Source organism: Homo sapiens, chromosome 9 (genome assembly GCF_000001405.40).
Source record: "Homo sapiens chromosome 9, GRCh38.p14 Primary Assembly".
NCBI classification, from domain to species: domain Eukaryota; kingdom Metazoa; phylum Chordata; class Mammalia; order Primates; family Hominidae; genus Homo; species Homo sapiens.
The window spans coordinates 5,890,389-5,911,567 of NC_000009.12; the positions used below are offsets into that span (position 1 = coordinate 5,890,389).

Below are 21,179 nucleotides of genomic sequence, written 5' to 3' on the forward strand. Positions count from 1 at the left end.
TTTATCTGAAGTTCAAATTTAACTGGGCATCCTCCTCAGCTGAGCTCCATGAGTTCTCTGTGATGCCTTTGGTGTTAACTGTCCACTGGAGATAGTGGGTTTCCATCTATGTGAAAGGGATAGATGAAATTTTCTTTTTGCAGGTAGAATATGACCTACTTAGACATCAATTAGGTTGGTGCAAAAGTAATTGTGGTGTCGGACCATGAATTTTAAATCATTATAACTAGGCTCATGTCATATTTTATGTGACATGGCAATCCTATGGAGGAGGGACCAACATTTAAAATAAATGGCTTCCCTAGGATAGAGCACTGGGACTGGGGAAAACAGAGGCCACAGTCAGCTGTGACTTTTTGAAGGAAGGAATAAAGTTGGTTTCTTTCATGCCAATTTAGCAATTACAGACGACCCCGTCAGAAATCTAAACCCGTGACTATCATGGGACTCAAAACCAGGAAAAAAAATAAGTCAAAACGATTAAGAGCCAGAGAAGCAGTCTTCATACACGCGGCCAGCCAGCAGACAGAGGACTCTCATTAAGGAAGGTAAGAGCGTTGCCTTCTCGCCATAATCATAGTCCTCTTCTCCCAGAATAGGATTTGGGAAATTCTGGCTAAGTCCTCTGCCTACCCTCATTGCCCCGCTGATGTGTGACATCAACAGAATTTCTCCGCAACGTTTGTCAGTCTCCAACCTCAGAGGGCTCACAAAGCCTCCTCCTGAATCCTCTCTCAGTCCTCCAACACTACCAAGAAGAAAAGCAATTATTCAGGATGGCATCTTGCTGGGGAGAAGCAGCCTCCCTGAGGTAGATGTGTTCTCCTGTCACTTAAAGAACCACTTCTCCTGGTCTGAGTAGTAAGAGGCGCATTTGCTGTTGCTGCACCATTTGCCAAGGCTCTGAGTTTGAGGTATGGGATGTATTAAAACAATTTAATGAAGAATTAAGATTCCATTCTGTCATTTTGAACACAGGGTTCAGTCCTATATTATTCACTTGAGAGGACTGGTGAGTTTGACTTTCATTTCTTTTTTACAACTGGGAAGGGCAAATTACACATAAAATGTCCCAGTGGAAAGGGGTCATGTGTCGAAATCCCCACTCTTCTGTCTCACCTCTCCCTGTTGTTTTAAACTGGGGCTCATTAATATAATTCTATGGGGATCACACCTTTGAAATTCATGAGGACAGTAAGAGAGCAGAAAAATACACAATAATAAGGAAAGGAGCTTCCATTATTGGTTTTTAATGAGCGTACTTGAATTACGGCCACTGCAGTTTATGGATATTTTTTGTTGTTCATTTGTATGTGTTATAGTTAGAAAAAAAAAGAATCCTAGCCAAGGGACTTGAACCAGAGAGAAGCAGAAATTGACTTAAGTAGGAAGGGAAACACATTGTTAGATAAAGTCAGGTCCTGGGCTTCCTCGGCTTGTTTTGGGTGGAGTGCCTGGGGACAGGCTGAAGCCCCTGTGTGGGGTGGTTTCCTTTGCTGAAAAGCTGGGCTGGAAGATGTTGTGCTCAGTGCTCAACCTCATGCACCCTCGCGAGGCACAGGCAACGGGTGCTCTGGGAAACACACGTTATGTATCATAGCCTCTGTTTGTCTGTGGGATTGATATCCAACAATAACTTTGGAGAAAAATAACTCCTCTAATTTTGTTAGCCACAGCCCTGGGCCAGGGAAGGTGGAGAATCAGTGAAAATGCATTTTGTTTGTTTCTCTAGAAGTTTATGGTGCAGAGTCAAATTGAAGGCAAATGAGGAATATTTTTTCACCAAATAATAACTCAACTTGCAAGTCTTTTTTGCTTTTGTTTGTAGTTTCTTCTTTGAACTTAATTTTCAGTTAGTAGGAGGGGTTAGAAACCTGAGCTATTGCTAAAGCCCTTGATATGAATGAAAGAAGCAGGTGCAAATCCCCTCACAGAGAGAAACCAAAGGGTCCTGGCTATGGATATTGGTCACCTAGTGAGGATGCTGTTGTGGGTCTTTATGAGATGATGAATAGGGTGGCTTTGGATGCATTAATGATGCCCACATGCTCCTTCTGTTAGGTGTCCTGTGCCCTGACCCTACAAGATGCCAAGAGAAGATGCTCACTTCATCTATGGTTACCCCAAGAAGGGGCACGGCCACTCTTACACCACGGCTGAAGAGTAAGTTCAAAACCAGACCCAGCAGGGCTTCCAGTTTGCCGTTTGCTGACACAGCCTGCTGACTTCCACCAGTACATGCCTGCTCGTAAATCTCCCTAGTGTTTATCTCCCCAGACAGTAACATCCCTGGCAACAAGGGGAGGAGATTCTGTGCTTCTATAAGGGGCTCAGTCAAGCTTCTCTGAGGCCAAACAGGCAGGAAGATGGGAATGGTATAAGGTTGGATCTTGCCATTTTTGGGTGCACTTTTGACTATTGGGTCTTATCTGTAGGTTCCCAAGTGGAAAAACATCTGTTCAGGATCACAATGCCTCTCTCCTCAATCCTTGTTCTGTCTCCTCCACTCAAATTCCTGAAGGTGGTTTGCAGACAGAATAAAAGTGAGTTGCCAAGGAGCCAGTAAGGATGACGGGCAGGTGTGTGTGACTCAGCCCACAGCCAGACTCGAGAGGAAGATGGAGGTCACAGCCTTTGCAGTATAACTTTATCCTAAGGAAAGACATTGGGTTTTATGAGTGAATTAAAAATAAGTATTTATATGATTAAGCATTTCTAAATGCTAAGCATTGTATACTGGCGTGAGACACTGTTTTTATCTTTGAAAAAACTCACAACTTAGTGGGAGAGTTAGGCATGAGATTAATTTCAGCAAATGTAAGTGCGGTAATGAAAACCCAGAGGCTGCAGGGACATACTCTGTATGTGCTGGGAGTGGGAAAGGGACATACTCTGTACGTGCTGGGTGGCAGGGGCAGGGGAGGCCCCACCCTCTGCGTGGGACTCTAACAGGACAACACCCTCTTATGTGGTCTGTCCAGAACTCCCTGTGAACCTGCTCTTTCTTTGGAAAGAGCTGTTGAACAATCTTTGTTAACAGTCAACCGCAGGGACCAGCAAGATGTAAAGCCCAACAAAGGCACTGAGGAAGAGTTCAGGCAGACAGCATTTCCTCAGAAGACCCTGGTATAGGATCCTCTAATATCCCTGGCCAATTGGAGATGAGGGCGGCGGTATCTTCTCAGAAAATGTCCTGACAGCAAAAACATACTCTTTGAGGGAGGGGAGCCCATTGCCCGTGCTATTAGTTAGGGTATCGTTTCAGCTTGTGTATAATCACTCAACAGACTCTTTAAAATATACTTTTATGTCTCGTGTAAAAATTCAAGAGTAAAGAGTTCAAGGCCTGTTCGTTTTCTTCTTGCTGGTTACTCCCTTGGGATGTCACTTTTGTCCCCATGGCTGAAGATGTTGTGCCATCACCTCCACATCTTGCCAACAGAAAGCAGGAGGTGAAGGAGAGGCTAGGACCGTTCCTTTCAAGGGGCACACGTCACTTCTGCTTATTGCTCCACCCCCGCCCCCCGCCCCGTGGCACCCACCCTGGTGGGTATCATTCTTGCTGTGTTGTAAATGAAGAAAGGTTTAGAGAAATTAGGAAATGTGTGGCCAGACATGGTGGCGCTGGGATTTAAATCCAGGTCTGTTTGCCTCCAGAGTCCATGCTCTTAAGTGTTATGCTGCAGGCCAGCAGAGGCAAATATTTGCACAATCCCATCCGACGAGAGGCTAGGGCAGAGGTCAGTATCTCTCAGTGTGAAGCTGGAGGCTGATGCTAGTCAGCTCAGTAGGCCGAAAGTGGAGTTGTCCTTTGCCATGTAGGGCCATCATGCCCAGCTGGGGAACCTCATAGCCAGGTGTACCCACAACCTGAACAAGGTAACTTTCAGGGTCTAGTCAGGAAGAAACCAACTAGATGGTTCAACATAGAGACTTTAATATAAGAAGCTGGTTAAACAGGCATGGGACTGAGACTGAGGAGGCAAAGAAGGCATCGGGGCAACCAAGGCTGTACCCACAGAATGCTGCTTCTACCCCCGTGTCTGGGGTAACAAACGGAAGGGTGAGGCCATCAGGACCTAGAGTTGGGAGGAGGGACGCCACAGAAATGGGACCCAGATCTCTAAGGAGAGATTTTTGTTTGGCTGGTTCTGGTGTCTCAAGAGCTTAGAAGTGAGGGGCATGAATCAAATACTCAGGCCTCTGAGGTCAGCCAGTGCTCTGCTGGGGAGGGGCATAATGAAGCTGGCTCTGACAATGCCGGAAAACGAGCTGGTGCTTGGCATATACAGACAATGTGAGCATTGCTGGGGTGATCCTGACAGGAGCCAGAAGCACACTGGAAGGAGCTGCTCCTTCTTGATGCCCCAGGTTTGTAGGCACCCTCTAGAGTACTCTAATGGGAGCCAGTGGGCAAAGGAGAAGTGGCATTTGCAGAGTCCAGTCCCAGCATCACAGAGCAGAGCATAGAAAGGTAGGTTTGGAGTTGAGGGACAATGGCTTAATAAAGGGCAAAGGGGGTTATGACCACTATCATGTGAAGGAACCCCTTGACTGAAGGCACAAGCTTTCTGTGTCTTGCAACCTGAATGACGTGCATAAGCAGGGTCAGGTGGGTTATCTGACATTTTCCTTGAGAACAAGAGGGAGCCTCTGGATTCCAGCACAAAAGAAAAATACCCACTCAACCCGTATGCGTGGGAGCTATCCTTTAAAGAGAAAGTAATTCCTTTTGACATTTTGCTGTCTGTAGAAGGGTCAGATGGCCAAAGCTTCCAGCACAATGAAACACTTAACTTCAGTCTGTGAGTGTAGGAACCCCTGAATACATGGAACATCATCATCTTGTGCAGGTACTGAAGGAGATCGGTCCAGAAAATAAGTAACTGCACATGGCCACCAATGTCAAAAGTCATTCCTCTCATGAAAAGTCCCTGCCCCCATTGCTGTTTGTTTAAATAGGTGGGATGGAGGTAGGGGAATGGGGCCATCTTCTTTTTTTTTTTTTAATTTTTTTGCATAAAATCCAGATCCTGCACAATGGGGCAATCTTCATTAAAACAATGCATCCCTAAGATCTGAGAATATTTATCCTTCTCACAATTGTGCCAGCAGGTGGAATGAAGAAGAATGATGCAAAATAAGTTCCCACATCCAGCCAAGAAGGACTACATACCTGCTTTGGGTATTATGTATCTCTTTGAAACCTCAGTGGAGAGCAGTTCTCACAGTTGGGTGGACACAAGTCATCCATGGAACTTGTTAAAATGCAGATTTCTAGGTGCTGCCACCTAAGAGGCTGATTGGGTAGGCCAGGGGTGGAGTCCTATGATCTGCACCTTAACGTGCATCTCAGGTGATTCTGCTGCAGGTGGTATTTGGAAGACACTCTGAGGCGCCCTGCCAAGCTGGGCAGTGGGTTCTTCCAATGTGTCAGGCATACCCTGGTGCTTTTCGCTCTCAGTTACTTGGGCATGTTGTGAGTACCACGTGACCATGCATAAAGTGCTGTAACAGAGCTCTGACTGTGTCAAGATATTCAAGTGGACGCCACAGGGTAAAATGAGAGCACAGGCATGTTGGGAGTTGAATCAGCTGCCTTCAGTCACGAGAACACACTGAACACTCCTTGTGACAGCTTCAGTTCAGGAAAGAGTGACTCTGCAGGAAAAGCACTGGCCTGGGAGACCTGGATCTGGCCCAAATTCTGGTGCTCACTTGCTTGGTCTCCCGTTCCAGTTGCTGTGAATGTTGGTTCTGCCACTTGCTGGTTGTGCAGCCCTGGGCACTTGACCAGCATAATGTCAGCTGTAAAATGAACATCATTCCTAACTCCGAGGACTGTGGTTAGGATGAAATAAAAGCATATATGTGGGGGTGCCTAGCCCAGTGCCTGGCACAAATTGGTGCTCAATGAATGGTAGTCACTATGGTTATGGTAATGTTGATGAATCTTCATAGGTCTCAGCTTCCTGATCTATAAAGCGGGTGGACTGACCTACATAAGTCAGAGTTTCCATCTAGCACTGTCATCCCATGGTTCGCTCTATCCTGTTTGGAGACGGACAGGATAAGCTTGATGTCTCCTCAGCCTTGAGACAGAAGTTGTCCAGTAGATGGTACTGAGCAAAAGTCTCTCCAGCAGAAGCCTTAGTTAAACCTTGCTTCTCCTGTAGCTGCTCAGTCTCTTGTAAGTCACTCAGCTCTGCAGAAACTTTCTTAGCGAGTTGACAACCACAGATAACAGAGTCAGTTCTGTCGATTTTGATCATGCTGTGATCAGGCAGATGTTAGCTAATTGATGATGCTTGCCCGGAGTGAACAGCTCCAGGCCCTGTTTCCAGGGTCTTTGTGGTAACTTTGTGGTAACTGTAATGCTTCCCAGGGGTCACTGAACACAGGGCCCAAGAGGCTGGTGTAGACCCCCAGATTGGCACCCTGCTGCTTAGACAAGATCCTTCTCAATAAGTAATGCCACAGCTTTGCTGTAGGTTCAGCCCAGACACTTCTCCCTAGGGCTGCAAGGAGCAAAGCGGGGAGTTTAGGGAAGGGAGGGCACGAACATAATTGAGACGGATTCAGGTTCAAATCCAGCCTCTGTTTTGTGCTAGCTCTGTATGATCACCAGCGAGTCATGTATCCTCTGCCTTTTATTTCCTCTTCTGTGAAAATAGGGGATGATAAATTGTGTCTACCCTCCAGTGTTGATGTGAGAATTGAATAAGCTAATGAATGTTTAGCACAGCACCTGGCTTTTAGTAGATGAGTCAGTGTTAATTTCTATTTTCTCTTTGTGGGCTGAGTTGGAGAAAATGTTTTAAAACAGCCTGATGAGAAGAAAAGATAATTTAGCCCCAATAAATACATTGTCCACATAAAGACCAGTTACTATGGCACTTCTCATACCTGGAACTTGGGTGCCTGGGCCATGCCAATTAGCAGAGTTCCTGTGGGCACACACTTGAGAGGCTCCTAAAGACCTGGGTTAGATCCAGGTGCTGGAGGCCTGGTGGGGTGCCCAGTGTGGGAGGTGGGAAACTACTTGGACACTGGGAGATGCTGCTCTGGGTCGTCAAAGTCCATATGAAGAGGAAGACTGATTTATGCTTCATCATAATGTAGAACAATGTTTCAATGACAAAGTGGATTTGTCTATCTCTTGGGCCAGGGCCGCTGGGATCGGCATCCTGACAGTGATCCTGGGAGTCTTACTGCTCATCGGCTGTTGGTATTGTAGAAGACGAAATGGATACAGAGCCTTGATGGTTGGTAAAGTTCCCACTGCTGAAATCCCTCCAAGTCCAGGGCCCTCTTTCCAGTTCTTTCCTCTGAATCTCTGGAGAGTCAGATAATTGCCTCATTATAACCTTCAGCTCTGATTCCGGCTTCTGATGCCTCTTTTGCTACATTGTACTTTGGCAACTCTACCTTTGCCTCTGCTCAGGCATGAACCTCAACCAGGAACTTGCCCTGTGTCTTAGTCTGTGATTATAACATAATACGAGAGACTGTAATTTATAAATAAATGAAATTCATTTGGTTTACAGTTGGGAGGCTGGGAACTCCAAGATCTAGGGGCCACACCTGGTGAGGACTTCTTGCTGTGTCATATCATAGTGGAAGGCATCACATGGGCAAGGGAGTGAGAGAGCAAGAGGGAGCTGAACTCATTTTTTTTTTTTCTTGAAACAGGAAATCCTGGGATGGAGCGCAGTGGTGAACATGAGTCACTGTAGCCTTGACCTCCTGGGCTCAAGCCATCCTCCTGTCTCAGCCTCCAGAGTAGCTGGGACCACAGGCACGTGCCACCACACCGGCTAATTAAAAAAAAACTTTTTTTTGTAGAGACGAGGTCCCACTATGTTGCCCAGGCTGGTCTCAAACTCCTGGGCTAAAGTGATCCTGCCTCGGCCTCCCAAAGTGTTGGGACTACAAGTGTGAAACACTCCACATATGGCCCAAACTCACTTTTATAACCAACCTACTTTTGCAATAACAAACACACTCCTGCAATAACAACATTAATCCATTCATGAGGACAGAGCCCTTGTAACTTAATCACCTCTTAAAAGTCCTACCTCTTACCATTGTTGCATTGGGGATTAAGTTTCCAATACACGAATTTTGGGGGACACATTCAAACTATAGCACCTGTCTCTTTGGTTCTACTCATAGCAGACTTGGGTACCTGGATGTTGTGTGTAGCTAAGCACTGACGGTTTATAGGGCACAGGGGAAGGGGTTTGAGGTTCCCTTATAGCAAACAGGAGTATATTAGACACCTCAGGTTTTACCACTTCTGGGAATTCTTGCTGGTTCTGTTACTCCACTTTGTGACCTGCTCTTCCTACTTTTCTTCTTCACCCCTTTCCTCACTGGTTACCTGTGAATTCCAAGTTCTTCTGACTCTACACTAAGCATCCCAGGATATCATCAGTGCGATGAGGAAACCATCCTTCCTGCATCAGCACAAAGGGTCACTTGTGTGTTTTTTAACAGGCTGCATCCTTCTTAGATGGCCAAAGGTTTTAATAGTATTTTTTTCTTCTTTACCCAAATATGCAGGAAGCTAACACAATTACACAATCCAATCTTCTGGTACCAGTATCCTCCATGAATGGGAAACATCAACTGAGTTTATAAGCTATAAAAATTACAGGTTTCAGCAATCTTGCTTAAAGCCAGGTAGCACTTCAGCACTTCAGCACCCGAAGGCATTCTCCATAGATCTCGCTGTCTCTCTTTCTTGTTATTACAGATCTGAAAGCTTTTCAGGTTGATGCATAATGGAAAAAAAGTATCTTTCCAAAAGATGTTGGAAAGTCCCATTCCTCATTCAGCAAGCACTTCATTTAGAGGAAAAGGTCCTGTGAAAGAGAGGAGGGTTGGTGTGGGGTGGGGATTGAAGCTTGGCAAGCTGATAAGGAGAAGGTGAGAGATACAACTCTGGATTCTTTCCCTCTTTGCCAAGAAACTTGGGCAGTCTCATGTCTCATGTCTCCTGTTCCCCAATGTCTTTCCAGAGCATAAATACAAATACAAACCATCAAAGGCAAGTCAAGTCTGGGGGCTGACACACCCACCGAGCATAGCCCTCTAGTGTGCTGACATCTAGTGGGAAGGAGGAGGAGTTGATGAATCTGAACAAGACTCCAATATTGGAGGAAATACTTGAGGAAAGCCTTGGGTTAGAAAGTTAGGGATAGAATTCCTGCTCATACGGCTGTCCACAACAGGTTAGTAGGGGAGGACTTTAATCTCTGCCATAGAACTCCATTTGTAACTCTAGCATGGGGTTATGACATTGCCTTGTAATTGGCTATTTACTTTTTGCCTCTTCGACCCCTCCGCTTTCCCCTATGTATGAACCACAACAGAGAATATTTCTAACTCATCTTCATATCTCCAGTGCCTAGCACAGTGCCTGGCACATGGTAGTCACTCAATTGTGTTGCATTAGGACTTGGTCCCATTGTCTGCCATTGAGTTGCTTGGAGACTAGAATTCAACTTCTCCAAGATTCACTAGCTCTATTTTACACCCAGACATGTTGGAAATCTGTGATGTAACACAATGTATATCCATTTTTATTTAATACATATTTTCTTCTATATTTTGATTTCATTATATATTTGTATATCAAAAACAAAATGTTTAGTCTTTCAAGAAGTAAAGCTATACAAACTCAATATGTTGGTACTCATTTCCTAACTATAATTATTAGTTTGATCCTATTGAACACAAATGCAGTAATTTTTCTTTTCTGCTTCAATGCTCTCATCTTAAATTCATTTAATTGAAAAATAACAGAGAGTCTTAATGTCATGTGCTCAGACACTGTGAACATTTTGCTTGGTAAGTTTCAAATTCAAACTCTATGCCTCCATTCCTCTAGGATTAGATCAGTGGTTTGTAGTTTCTGAGACTTTTTATTGAGAGGGAATCGTGTTTAAATTTCCTGGTTTATTTAATTTCCATATTTATTTTTTAAATTAATATTAAAATCTTATTTTGAGATTTTCATATATCTAGAAAAGTCAGTTTGGAGATCAGCAGTCTAATAAGTTTAGGCAAAATTATGTAAAATAGTGCATTAAGTATTGCATTTAATTACATAATTACCTCCCTTTCTGTCTTCAGTGATTCTATTTTCATTTTAAAGCAAAGGGATGTAAATGACATTAAATATGAGCTTTGGGCATGTGAATTACTCCACCTTTAACAATCTTCATTAAGCTTGAAATGTCTACTTTTCAACTTCCATTTGTCCACAGAGAGGCTGGTTGGAATTTAGATCTCTTAAAATTTCTCCCTTGGTTAACAATTCCCCTGAGCCCTGGAAAACATCTTTTGAAAGGAAAGGCTGCTTTTTGTAGCAACAGGAAGTGGGAAATGATTTGTAATAAACTGAACAGTGGTTTTTATATTAACCAGTTTTACATCTTCACTTGGAAGTTCAAGGACAAAATACTTTTGATTCTTGGAGAATTTCATGGCCCTTGCTCTCAGCTCAGTTTACACTCATGTGTCAGGGCACTGTGTTTTTCAATGCATGGTCAGTGGTCACCTGCACTGGAATACTTTGGGGTTCTTGCTAAAAGGCAGATTCTGGGATCATCTCTGGTGGTGGGATTCAGGAATCTATATTTTAAAATGTACACCCAGTTTTAATGTAAATACAGAGAACTGGCAGTGAACCGGTAGAGTGGATCATACTCTTAACCTATGGTGAGTGAGAGGCTTAAAAAAAAAAGAAAAAGAAAAAAATGGTAATTGACAAGGGCAGTTTTATTTTTTTTTCCCAATCAGTACACCTTTTATATCCTTTTCCAGTTTATTGCATTAGTTATTTGCAACTTCCAGTATGATGCTGAAAAGGAGTGGTGAGACAGGACATCCTTGCCTTGTTCCTGATCTTAGCAGAAAAGCTTCAAGTATGATGTTAACTGTTGATTTTTTGTACCTAGATATTCTTCAGCAAACTTGAGTAAGTTTCCCTTTATCCCTCGTTTATTGAGAGTTTTAAATTATGAATGGGTGTTTGATTTTGTCAAATGCTTTTTCTACATCTATTGATACAATCTTGCAAATTTCTTCTTTAGTCTATTGATGTATCAGAATAATTCATTTCTCTTTTTCTTTTTTTTTGAGATGGGGTCTCATTCTGTCACCCAGGCTGGAGTGCAGTGGCTCAATCTCAGCTTACTGTAACCTTCACCTCCCAGGCTCAGGTGATCCTCCCACCCCAGCCTTCCAAGTAGCTGGGACCACAGGTGTAAGCCACCACGCCTGGCTAAATTTTTTTGTATTTTCGGTAGAGATGGGGTTTCACCATGTTGCCCAGGCTGGTCTCAAACTCCTGAGCACAAGCAATCCACCTGCCTCAGCCTCCCAAAGTGCTGGGATTACAGGCGTGAGCCACCACGCCTGGCCTGATTTCTCAATATTGAACCAGGTTTGCATACCTGGCATAAATCCTATTTTGTCATGGTATGTAATTCCTTTTATACATTGTTAGTTTGACTTGCTAATATTTTGTTGAGATTTTTTGCATCTGTATTCATGAGTGATATTGAGCTGTAGTTTTCTCTTTTTGCAATATCTGTCTGGTATTAGGGTAATGCTGGCCTCATAGCAATGAGTTACAAAGTATTCCCTTTGCTTCTATCTTCTGAAAGAGGTTATAGAGAATTGGTATAATATCTTTCTTAAATGTTTGGTAGAACTCACCACTGAACTCATCTGGGTCTGGTGCTTTCTGTTTTGGAAAGTTATTATTGATTCAATTTTTATAATAGATATAAATCTCTTCAGATGGTCTAGTTCTTCTTGCGTGGATTTTGACAGATTGTGTCTTTCAAAGAATTGTTACATTCACCTAGGTTTTCAAATTTGTGAGCATAGTTCATAGTATTCCTTGCTTATCCTTTTCATGTCCATTATTATTTCTGATAATAGTAGTTTGTGCCTTTTTATTTCTTAGCCTAGCTAAAGGCTTATCAATTTTATTGATCTTTTCCCAGAATCAGCATTTGGTTTCATTGATTTACTCTACTGACTTTTTTTTCTTTCTTTCTTTCCTTTTTTTTTTCTAGAGACAGGGTCTCATTCTGTCATCCAGACTGGAGTGCAGTGGCACAATCATAGCTCACTGTTACCTTGAACTCCTGGGCTCAAGCACTCCAATCCTCCTGGCTCAGCCTCCTGAGTAGCTAGGACTACAGCTAGCTACCATAGTAGCTAGGATTATAGCATGTGCCTCCAGGTCTGATTAATTTTCTTTTTTTTTTTTTTAATTTGTAGAGACAGAGTCTCACTATGTTGCTCTGGTTGGTCTCAAACTCCTGGCTTCAAGCAGTCCTCCTGCCTTGCCCTCCCAAAGTACTGGCATTATAGGCATGAGCCATTGTGCTCTGCTGATTTCTTGTTTTCAATTTCATTGATTTCTGCTCTAATTTTTATTTTTCCGCTTACTTTGGATTTAATTTGCTGTTCTCTTTATTTTCCTAAGGTGAAAGCTTAGATGACTGATTTTAGATCTTTCTTCTTCTCTAATATACACATTCAATGTCATACATTTCCCTCTAAATACTGCTTGCACTGCTAAGCAGTATCCCACAAATTCTGATATCATATTTTAATTTCATTTAATTCAAAATATATTTAAATTTCTCCTGAGATTTCTCCTTTGACTCATGTGTTATGTAGAAGTGTGTTGTTTAATCTCCAAGTGTTGGGAATTTTTCAGTTATCTTTCTGTATTGATTTCTGCTTTAATTCTATTATAGTCTAAGTGCAAACATGGTATAATTTCTATTCTTTTAAATTTGTTAAGATGTGTTTTGTGGCCCAGAATGTGGTTTATCCTGGTTAATGTTCTGAGCTTGAGAAGAAAGTGTATTCTGTTGTCGTTGGATGAAGTAGCCTACAGATGTCTATTATATCTAGTTAATCGAAGATTTTGTTGAGTTCCACTCTGTCACAGTATATAATTCCTTTTATATATTGTTAGGTTTGATTTGCTAATATGTTGTTGAGTTTTTTTGCATCTATATTTATGAGAGATAACGAATTGTCATTTTCTTTTCTTGTAATATCTTTGTTTTTGATATTAGGGTAATGTTGGCCTCATACAATGAGTTAGTCCTTACTGATTTTTTACCTGCTGGCTTTGTGTTATTTCTGATAGAGAGATGTTGAAGCCTCCAACTGTAACTCCAACTTCATAGTGGATGCAACTATTTTTCCTTGCAGTTCTATCAGTTTTTATCTCATGTATTTTGATGCTGTGTTCTTAGGTACATGCAATGTTAGGTGTTCTTATGTCTTCTTGGAGAATGAACACCTTTATCGTTATGTAATATCCCTCTTTATCCCTGATAACTTTCCTTGAAATCTCCTTCTGAAACTAATATAGGAACTCCTACTTTCTTTTCATTAGTGTTAGCATGGTATATCTTTTTCTATGCACTTACTTTTTTTTTTTTGAGACAGAGTCTCGCTGTGTCACCTAGACTGGAGTGCAGTGGTGTGATCTCAGCTCACTGCAACCTCCACTTCCTGGGTTCAAGTGATTCTCCTGCCTCAGCCTCCCAAGTAGCTGGTATTACAGGTGTGCGCCACCAAGCCTGGCTAAGTTTTGTATTTTTAGCAGAGATGGGGTTTCACCATGTTGCCCAGGCTGGTCTTGAACTCCTGAGCTCAGGCAATCCGCCTGCCTTGGTCTCCCAAAGTGCTTGGGATTACAGGTGTGAGCCACCATGCCTGGCCTCTATCCACTTACTTTTAATGTACATGTATGTGTCTTTATATTTAAAGAGGGTTTCTTGTAGAGAACACATAGTTGGGTCTTGTTTGTTGATCCACTCTGACAATCTGTCTTTTAATTGGTGCATTTAGACCATTGATATTCAAAGTAGTTATTGATATAGTTGGATTGATATCTACCATATTGTTACTGTTTTCTACCTGTTGCCTCTGTTCTTTGTTTCTATTTTTGTCTTTACTCTTTTTCTGCCTTTTGTGATTTTCACTGGACATTTTATATGATTCCATTTTCTCTCCTTTCTTGGCATATCAGTTATACTTTTTTCTTTTTGAGACAGAATCTCACTCACTCTGTCGCCCAGGCTGGAGTGCAGTGGCACGATCTCAGCTCACTGCCACCTCTGCCTCCCAGGTTCAAGTGATTCTCCTGTCTCAGCCTCCTGAGTAGCTGAGATTAAAGGTGCATACTACTATGCTCATCTAATTTTTGTATTTTTAGTAGAGACGGGGTTTCATCATGTTGGCCAGGCTGGAACTCGACCTCAAGTGATCCACCCACTTGGCCTCCCAAAGTGCTAGGATTACAGGCGTGAGCCACCGCGCCCAGTCCAGTTACACTTCTTTTTTTTTTTTTTTGAGACGGAGTCTCACTCCGTTGCCCAGGCTGGAGTGCAGTGGTATGATCTGGGCTCACTGCAAGCTCTGCCTCCTGGGTTCATGCCATTCTCCTGACTCAGCCTCCCAAGTAGCTGGGACTACAGGTGCCCGCTACCATGCCTGGCTAATTTTTTGTATTTATAGTAGAGATGTCATTTCACTGTGTTAGCCAGGATGGTCTCAATCTCCTGACCTCGTGATCCACACGCCTTGACCTCCCAAAGTGCTGCGATTACAGGTGTGAGCCACCGTGCCCGGCCTTATACTTCTTTTTTACTTTTTTTCAGTGGTTTCCCTAGAGTTTGCAACATACATTTACAACTAATTCAAATCCACTTTCAAATAACACTATACCATTTCATAGGCATTATGAGTATCTTAAAATAATCCTAATTCCTTCCTCCTGTAAACTAAAAACAAAATCCTAAATCCTCCAAACAACTGAATGGACCCCCTCTTCACCAAGGGGACCCCAGGGAAACCTGAAAAACTGAGTGTTGGCCATGACGGGAAGGGAGGTGAGAGATGCCTCATTATACTCCCTCCCTTTTAGAGTTTTAGGTACAACTGACCAGCATTAATTTTAAAATAGAGATTACAGGACTGACAGAATGAACTCTTTGTGGCAATATCAAATTAGGAACAAGACAATGCAAGGAAAGGGTTAAATCATGCCCTTCAAACCATAAAAAAATTTTTTTTTAATTAACCCCATATAATGTGGTATACTTTCCAAACTGACTCTGGTATAGCATCACATGACAGATTGCAGACTCCCTTACCTTAAGCATTCCTTTATACTGACTTCAAGTCTTAAGACAGAGCTGAACTCTTTCAACCAGCTGCTAACTAAAGAATACCTAAAACCCACCTGTGACTTGTAAGTCTCTGCTTTGCCATGTCCTGCCTTTTCAGGCTGACCCAATGTATACCTTCCGTGTATTGATTTATGATTTTTACCTACAATTCCTGTCTTCCTGAAACATATAAAACCAAATCATAACCCAACCACCTCAGGCACACTTTCTCAGGACCTCTTGAGACTATTCTCCCGGCCATGGTCATTCATATCGGCACAGAATAAACCTCTTTAAAATATTTTGCAGTTTTTTTCTTTCTGTTAACATTCCTTTCCCTTGTATCATTGCTGTTATTAATTTCAAGTATATATAAGCATACCTAATTAAATACATTGTTGCTATTATTCATTTTTGAACAAACTATTATCTGTTAAATCAACTAAGAATAAGACAAATATGTTGGGTGCAGTGGTGCATGCCTATAGTCTCAGCTACTCAGAGGCTGAGGCAGGAGGATTGCTTGAGCTCAGGAGTTTAAGACCAGCCTAGGCAACTTAGCAAGATCATGTCTCTTAAAAAAAAAAAAAGAAAGAAAGAAAAACAAAGTTTTAGGAGGCTGAGGCAGGAGTATCACTTGAACCCAGGACGCAGAGGTTGCAGTGAGCCGAGATCGTGCCATTATACTCCAGCCTGGGCAACAGAGTGAGACTCTGTCTCAAAAAAAAAAAAAGAAAAGAAAAGAAAAGAAAAAAAAAGTTTTTATTTTACCTTCACTTATTCCTTCTTGGATGTTCTTCCTTTATGTAGGTACAAGGTTCTGACCTATGTTATTTTCTTTTTCTCTAAAGAACTTCAAAAGTTTCCTGCAAGGCAGGTCTACTGGCAATGAATTCCCTCAATTTTTGCTTGACAAAGTCTTTATTTCTGCTTCACTATTGATGGATAATTTCACAAGAGTGTTCCTTTTGTAGATTCACTCTTCTTATCCTTCCCTTCAGAAATATTCTTTGACCAACTATTGGGTCCCAGGTACTGCACTAGAGCTTTACTTCTAGTTAATTCCCACAGCAATTCTGAGAGGTAGGTAGGTATTATATTCCTAGATGCAAACTCAGAATTCAGAAGGTAAAGTGATGAGACTGAAGGCACACAGCAAGTAAGTGGCAGAACCTAGATTAAAACTCATTCTTAAAACTTTGGCTTCCTTCTCTTTTCTTTAATGGATTCAGTTACTTCTTCTCACCCACTCACCTTTATCAATTTACATTTCAGGATAAAAGTCTTCATGTTGGCACTCAATGTGCCTTAACAAGAAGATGCCCACAAGAAGGGTTTGATCATCGGGACAGCAAAGTGTCTCTTCAAGAGAAAAACTGTGAACCTGTGGTAGGTTAAGATCCTTCATAAGGGTATTTTCATGAATGGCTGTTTTTAACTCAAGTGAATACAATTATTTCCATTTAAAAAGCAAGGACAATGTGAATGTACTCATTGCCACTGAACTATATACACCTAAAAATGGTTAAAATGGCAACTTTTATGTGTATTTTATGAGAATAAAAAATAAATAATAATAAAAAACAAGGGAAGTACAGATATTTTCTTAATTGTGTTGTCACATACCCAGTGTTTCCAGGGTCAATAATGAGAGCCCTACATGTAAGATTCAAAGGAAGAATTTAGTCCTGGATACAATATTCTTTTATGTTTTTAGTTATATTTGCCTTTTTAATGGATGCAGATATATACAGAGGGAAGGGATAAAGTACCTATTATTTATTGTATAGAGCTGTGCTGTCTGATGGCTTAGCCACTAGTCACATGGTGCTATTGAACACTTAAAACACAGGAGTTTGAAATAAGATGTATTATAATACATATCATATTTCAAAAATATTAGTATGTAGAAAAGAAGATAAATGGTTCATTAATGATTTTTATATTGATTCACCTTGAAATAAATATTCTGAAAATATTAGGTTAAACAAAATATTTTAAGATTAATTTTACATGTTTCTTCTTTTAAATGTAGCTACTAGAAATTTTAAAATTACATATGGCTGGGCATGGTGGCTCACACCTGTAATCCCAGCACTTCGGGAGGCCGAGGTGGGTGGATCACCTGATCTCAGGAGCTCGAGACCAGCCTGGCAAACATGGTGAAATCCTATCTTTACTAAAAATACAAAAATTAGCCAAGCGTGGTGGTGCATGCCTGTAATCCCAGCTACTTGGGACGCTGAGGCAGGAGAATCACTTGAACCCGGGAGGTGGAGGTTGCAGTGAGCCGAGATAGTGCCACTGCACTCCAGCCTGGGAGACAAGAGCAAAACTCCATCTCAAAAATAAATAAATAAAATAAAATTACATAAGTGGCTTGTACCATATTTCTATTGGACAGCACTAGTACATATACAACACAGCATAATGGTTGAGAGCACTGACTCTGGAGCCAAATTACTGTGTTTGATTCTTAGCTCCACAACTTACTAGTTGTGTGACCATGGGCAAGCGAGTTAACCTCTCTGTGCCCCAGTTTCCCATTCTGTAACATGAAAATAATAAAAACACTCCCAGAATTGTTGTGAGCATTAAATGAAGCCCTGACACATTTGTTCTGGATACAATATCCTCTTGTTTTATATTTGGTAGTATCAATGTGCCTTTAGACACAATTACAACGATCTCTGTGGTAAAGATGCAATGTATATGGTGTCTATAAATAGCATTCAATGATTCGTTAGTTAGGGCTTGAGACTTTTACTGTCATGGAAAATCTAGGTATAGCTAAGCTTTTGAGATTTTGGGAACTCCTTAACCCTATTTTTCTCTACTCTTGCCCCCAACAATCAGCCTATATACTTGTGAAATTTAACAATTACTTCACTGGGCAGAAATTATATGGGAACACTTAGAAATTTCAGTCCACAGGGAAAGTATAAATATGTTAACTATTTTAACTTAATCCCTTCCTAGAAACACATACACTGTTGCCAAGCCCATATTCTCCCTTTCTTGTTCTCACAGGTTCCCAATGCTCCACCTGCTTATGAGAAACTCTCTGCAGAACAGTCACCACCACCTTATTCACCTTAAGAGCCAGCGAGACACCTGAGACATGCTGAAATTATTTCTCTCACACTTTTGCTTGAATTTAATACAGACATCTAATGTTCTCCTTTGGAATGGTGTAGGAAAAATGCAAGCCATCTCTAATAATAAGTCAGTGTTAAAATTTTAGTAGGTCCGCTAGCAGTACTAATCATGTGAGGAAATGATGAGAAATATTAAATTGGGAAAACTCCATCAATAAATGTTGCAATGCATGATACTATCTGTGCCAGAGGTAATGTTAGTAAATCCATGGTGTTATTTTCTGAGAGACAGAATTCAAGTGGGTATTCTGGGGCCATCCAATTTCTCTTTACTTGAAATTTGGCTAATAACAAACTAGTCAGGTTTTCGAACCTTGACCGACATGAACTGTACACAGAATTGTTCCAGTACTATGGAGTGCTCACAAAGGATACTTTTACAGGTTAAGACAAAGGGTTGACTGGCCTATTTATCTGATCAAGAACATGTCAGCAATGTCTCTTTGTGCTCTAAAATTCTATTATACTACAATAATATATTGTAAAGATCCTATAGCTCTTTTTTTTTGAGATGGAGTTTCGCTTTTGTTGCCCAGGCTGGAGTGCAATGGCGCGATCTTGGCTCACCATAACCTCCGCCTCCCAGGTTCAAGCAATTCTCCTGCCTTAGCCTCCTGAGTAGCTGGGATTACAGGCGTGCGCCACTATGCCTGACTAATTTTGTAGTTTTAGTAGAGACGGGGTTTCTCCATGTTGGTCAGGCTGGTCTCAAACTCCTGACCTCAGGTGATCTGCCCGCCTCAGCCTCCCAAAGTGCTGGAATTACAGGCGTGAGCCACCACGCCTGGCTGGATCCTATATCTTAGGTAAGACATATAACGCAGTCTAATTACATTTCACTTCAAGGCTCAATGCTATTCTAACTAATGACAAGTATTTTCTACTAAACCAGAAATTGGTAGAAGGATTTAAATAAGTAAAAGCTACTATGTACTGCCTTAGTGCTGATGCCTGTGTACTGCCTTAAATGTACCTATGGCAATTTAGCTCTCTTGGGTTCCCAAATCCCTCTCACAAGAATGTGCAGAAGAAATCATAAAGGATCAGAGATTCTGGAATGGTGTCATTATTTGCATAGCAACATTGCAATTTGTTTTCCTTTGGCTACATCAACGTATCACCTACACTATTATTTATCTAATATTTCTCTTTCAGGCAGCTCATTTAAACTTTTTTTGGCTTTAATTCCTATTGCCATCCTGAGTGGAAAACCAGTATCATTTTCCATAGTAGAGGATAACTATAACAACGAAGATAATGAAAGTAATTTTTTTAACCTAAGAAAATACTAATGGTCACAGAAGGCTATGAACCTGAGACCTGCTCTCTTTGTCAAACAGAGATTAACAAGGATCAGAGAAAAGTTAAAGGCTGTCTTTGACATAACTGGAAGGCTTACAAGAGTTTTAAAGAAATTACTTTCTCACTATATGATTCATTGCTATTTAACGGTGAGTCAGTAAACCACCTAAAAATCATCTTGTCTCATCAGAAACACTAGTGTAACATAACTGCATCATTTTCTACTAAAGACAAAATTTCACCAAAGGGGAAAAAGAAAACACAGGATAAAGAGATGTATTACACACATCGAAAAAAACAACATTTAACAAAATATTAAAATATTTCCCCACTCTTCTGATACTGTCAAGTCTTACTACTTAAAATAAGGCTTCCACCTCTCCCACTTCAAACAAATAAATGAATTCTAAACCAAAGAAACTTCATCAGGCATTTGGGTACCTCCTCCCCTCACCACGAGGTCTCTGCTGAACCTCAATCCTGTACACTGAGGAACCTGTGGCTTGAACCCTACATCCCTCCAGAACCCCCAGACTGTCACTCACTGAGGGTGCTCTCATTTCTCTGTGGAAAAGGCTCTCCTCACAGAGTTCCTCAGACAGTGTCCCAGGTGATGGACATGGAGACTTGGGCTGAGTCTGCCAGAAAGAAATTAGAAAAGTGAGATATTTTTGAAAGGAATAGAAAGTGCCAGATTCAGAAGACTTACTCCCCACTTCACAGAGGCACCCACACCTCTGAAGATGACTCCTTGGATTGGAAACCAATTGCAGGGCAACCCTGGGAGCCATGTGTTAAGGATGGAAGGTCACATGATGCAAGGAGCCTGGGTCATTACATCACCACTGAGAGCTCCTTATATATTCTGGTTATTAATCCCTTGTCAGATGGGTAGTTTGCTATTTTCTCCCATTCATGGGTTGTCTCTTTACTTTGTTGATTGTTTCCTTTGCTGTGCAGAAGCTTCTTAACTTGATGTGATCCTATTTGTCCATTTTGGCTTTGGATGCCTGTGCTATGTAGGGTATTACTCAAGAAATCTTTGCTCACTCCAATGTCCTGGAGAGTTTCTCCAACGCTTTCTTTTAGCAGTTTCATAATTTGAGGTCTTAGATTTAAGTCTTTAATCCATTTTTACTTGATTTTTGTATATGGCAAAAGATACGGGTCTTGTTTCATTCTTCTGCATACAGGTATCTAGTTTTTCCAGCACCATTTTTTGAAGAGACTGTCCTTTTCCCAATGTATGTTCTTGGCACCTTTGTTGAAAATGAGCTCACTGTAATATATGGATTTGTTTCTGAGTTCTCTATTGTGTTTCATTGGTCTATGTGTGTTTTTTTTTTTTTTTTTAATGCCAGTACCATGATGTTTTGGTTACTATAGGCTTTGTAGTGTAATTTGAAGTCACATAATGTGATCCTTCCAGTTTTGTTCTTTTTGCTTAGGTCCTTTTTCTTTTCTTTTCTTTTCTTTTTTTTTTTTTGAGACGGTCTCT

At 41.3% G+C, this 21,179-nt stretch overlaps 2 protein-coding genes across 9 annotated transcripts in view, besides 1 other annotated feature; one reads left to right on the top strand and one right to left on the bottom strand.

Annotated features, from left to right (window-relative positions):
• BRD10 (bromodomain containing 10) overlaps nt 1-21,179 on the bottom strand; it is a 129,649-nt gene that overhangs the window by 11,555 nt on the left and 96,915 nt on the right. For 2 of the 8 annotated variants that reach the window (XR_007061251.1, XR_001746203.3), the window contains exon 9: nt 20,227-20,319. The exons of 2 other annotated variants lie outside the window; for them this stretch is intronic. Coding sequence is in view for 2 of the 6 variants with exons in the window: in XM_011517760.4 (XP_011516062.1) it covers nt 20,276-20,319 (44 nt within the window). In the remaining 4 variants the exon portion in view is untranslated. Of the gene's footprint in view, nt 1-1,234; nt 2,653-3,917; nt 8,868-20,226; nt 20,320-21,179 lie in introns of those variants that run through there. 4 more of the 8 variants (XR_007061252.1, XM_011517760.4, XM_011517759.4 and 1 more) reach the window with 4 other exon arrangements.
• Nucleotides 501-20,218, top strand: MLANA (melan-A). Its single transcript, NM_005511.2, has 5 exons — nt 501-548; nt 2,062-2,163; nt 7,169-7,265; nt 16,497-16,610; nt 18,252-20,218. Exons 2-5 carry the CDS (start codon nt 2,087-2,089, stop codon nt 18,318-18,320), a joined length of 357 nt encoding a protein of 118 aa, NP_005502.1. The 5' UTR covers nt 501-548; nt 2,062-2,086; the 3' UTR covers nt 18,321-20,218.
• Nucleotides 19,438-20,637: an enhancer, noted in NCBI's record as "MED14-independent group 3 enhancer chr9:5909826-5911025 (GRCh37/hg19 assembly coordinates)". NCBI's record gives its function as "activates an origin of replication core promoter dependent on BRD2, BRD4, P300/CBP and CDK7 cofactors, and independent of MED14, by STARR-seq in HCT116 cells {active_cell/tissue: HCT116}" and the evidence as "EXISTENCE:reporter gene assay evidence [ECO:0000049][PMID:35650434]".

Bases quoted from the DNA above. Each gene is read 5' to 3' on its own strand.
- MLANA (NM_005511.2), top strand. From the start codon at position 2,087: ATGCCAAGAGAAGATGCTCACTTCATCTATGGTTACCCCAAGAAGGGG. The intron at 2,164-7,168 runs GTAAGTTCAAAA...CTCTTGGGCCAG, and splicing joins TCTTACACCACGGCTGAAGA to GGCCGCTGGGATCGGCATCC. The intron at 7,266-16,496 runs GTTGGTAAAGTT...TTTACATTTCAG, and splicing joins ATGGATACAGAGCCTTGATG to GATAAAAGTCTTCATGTTGG.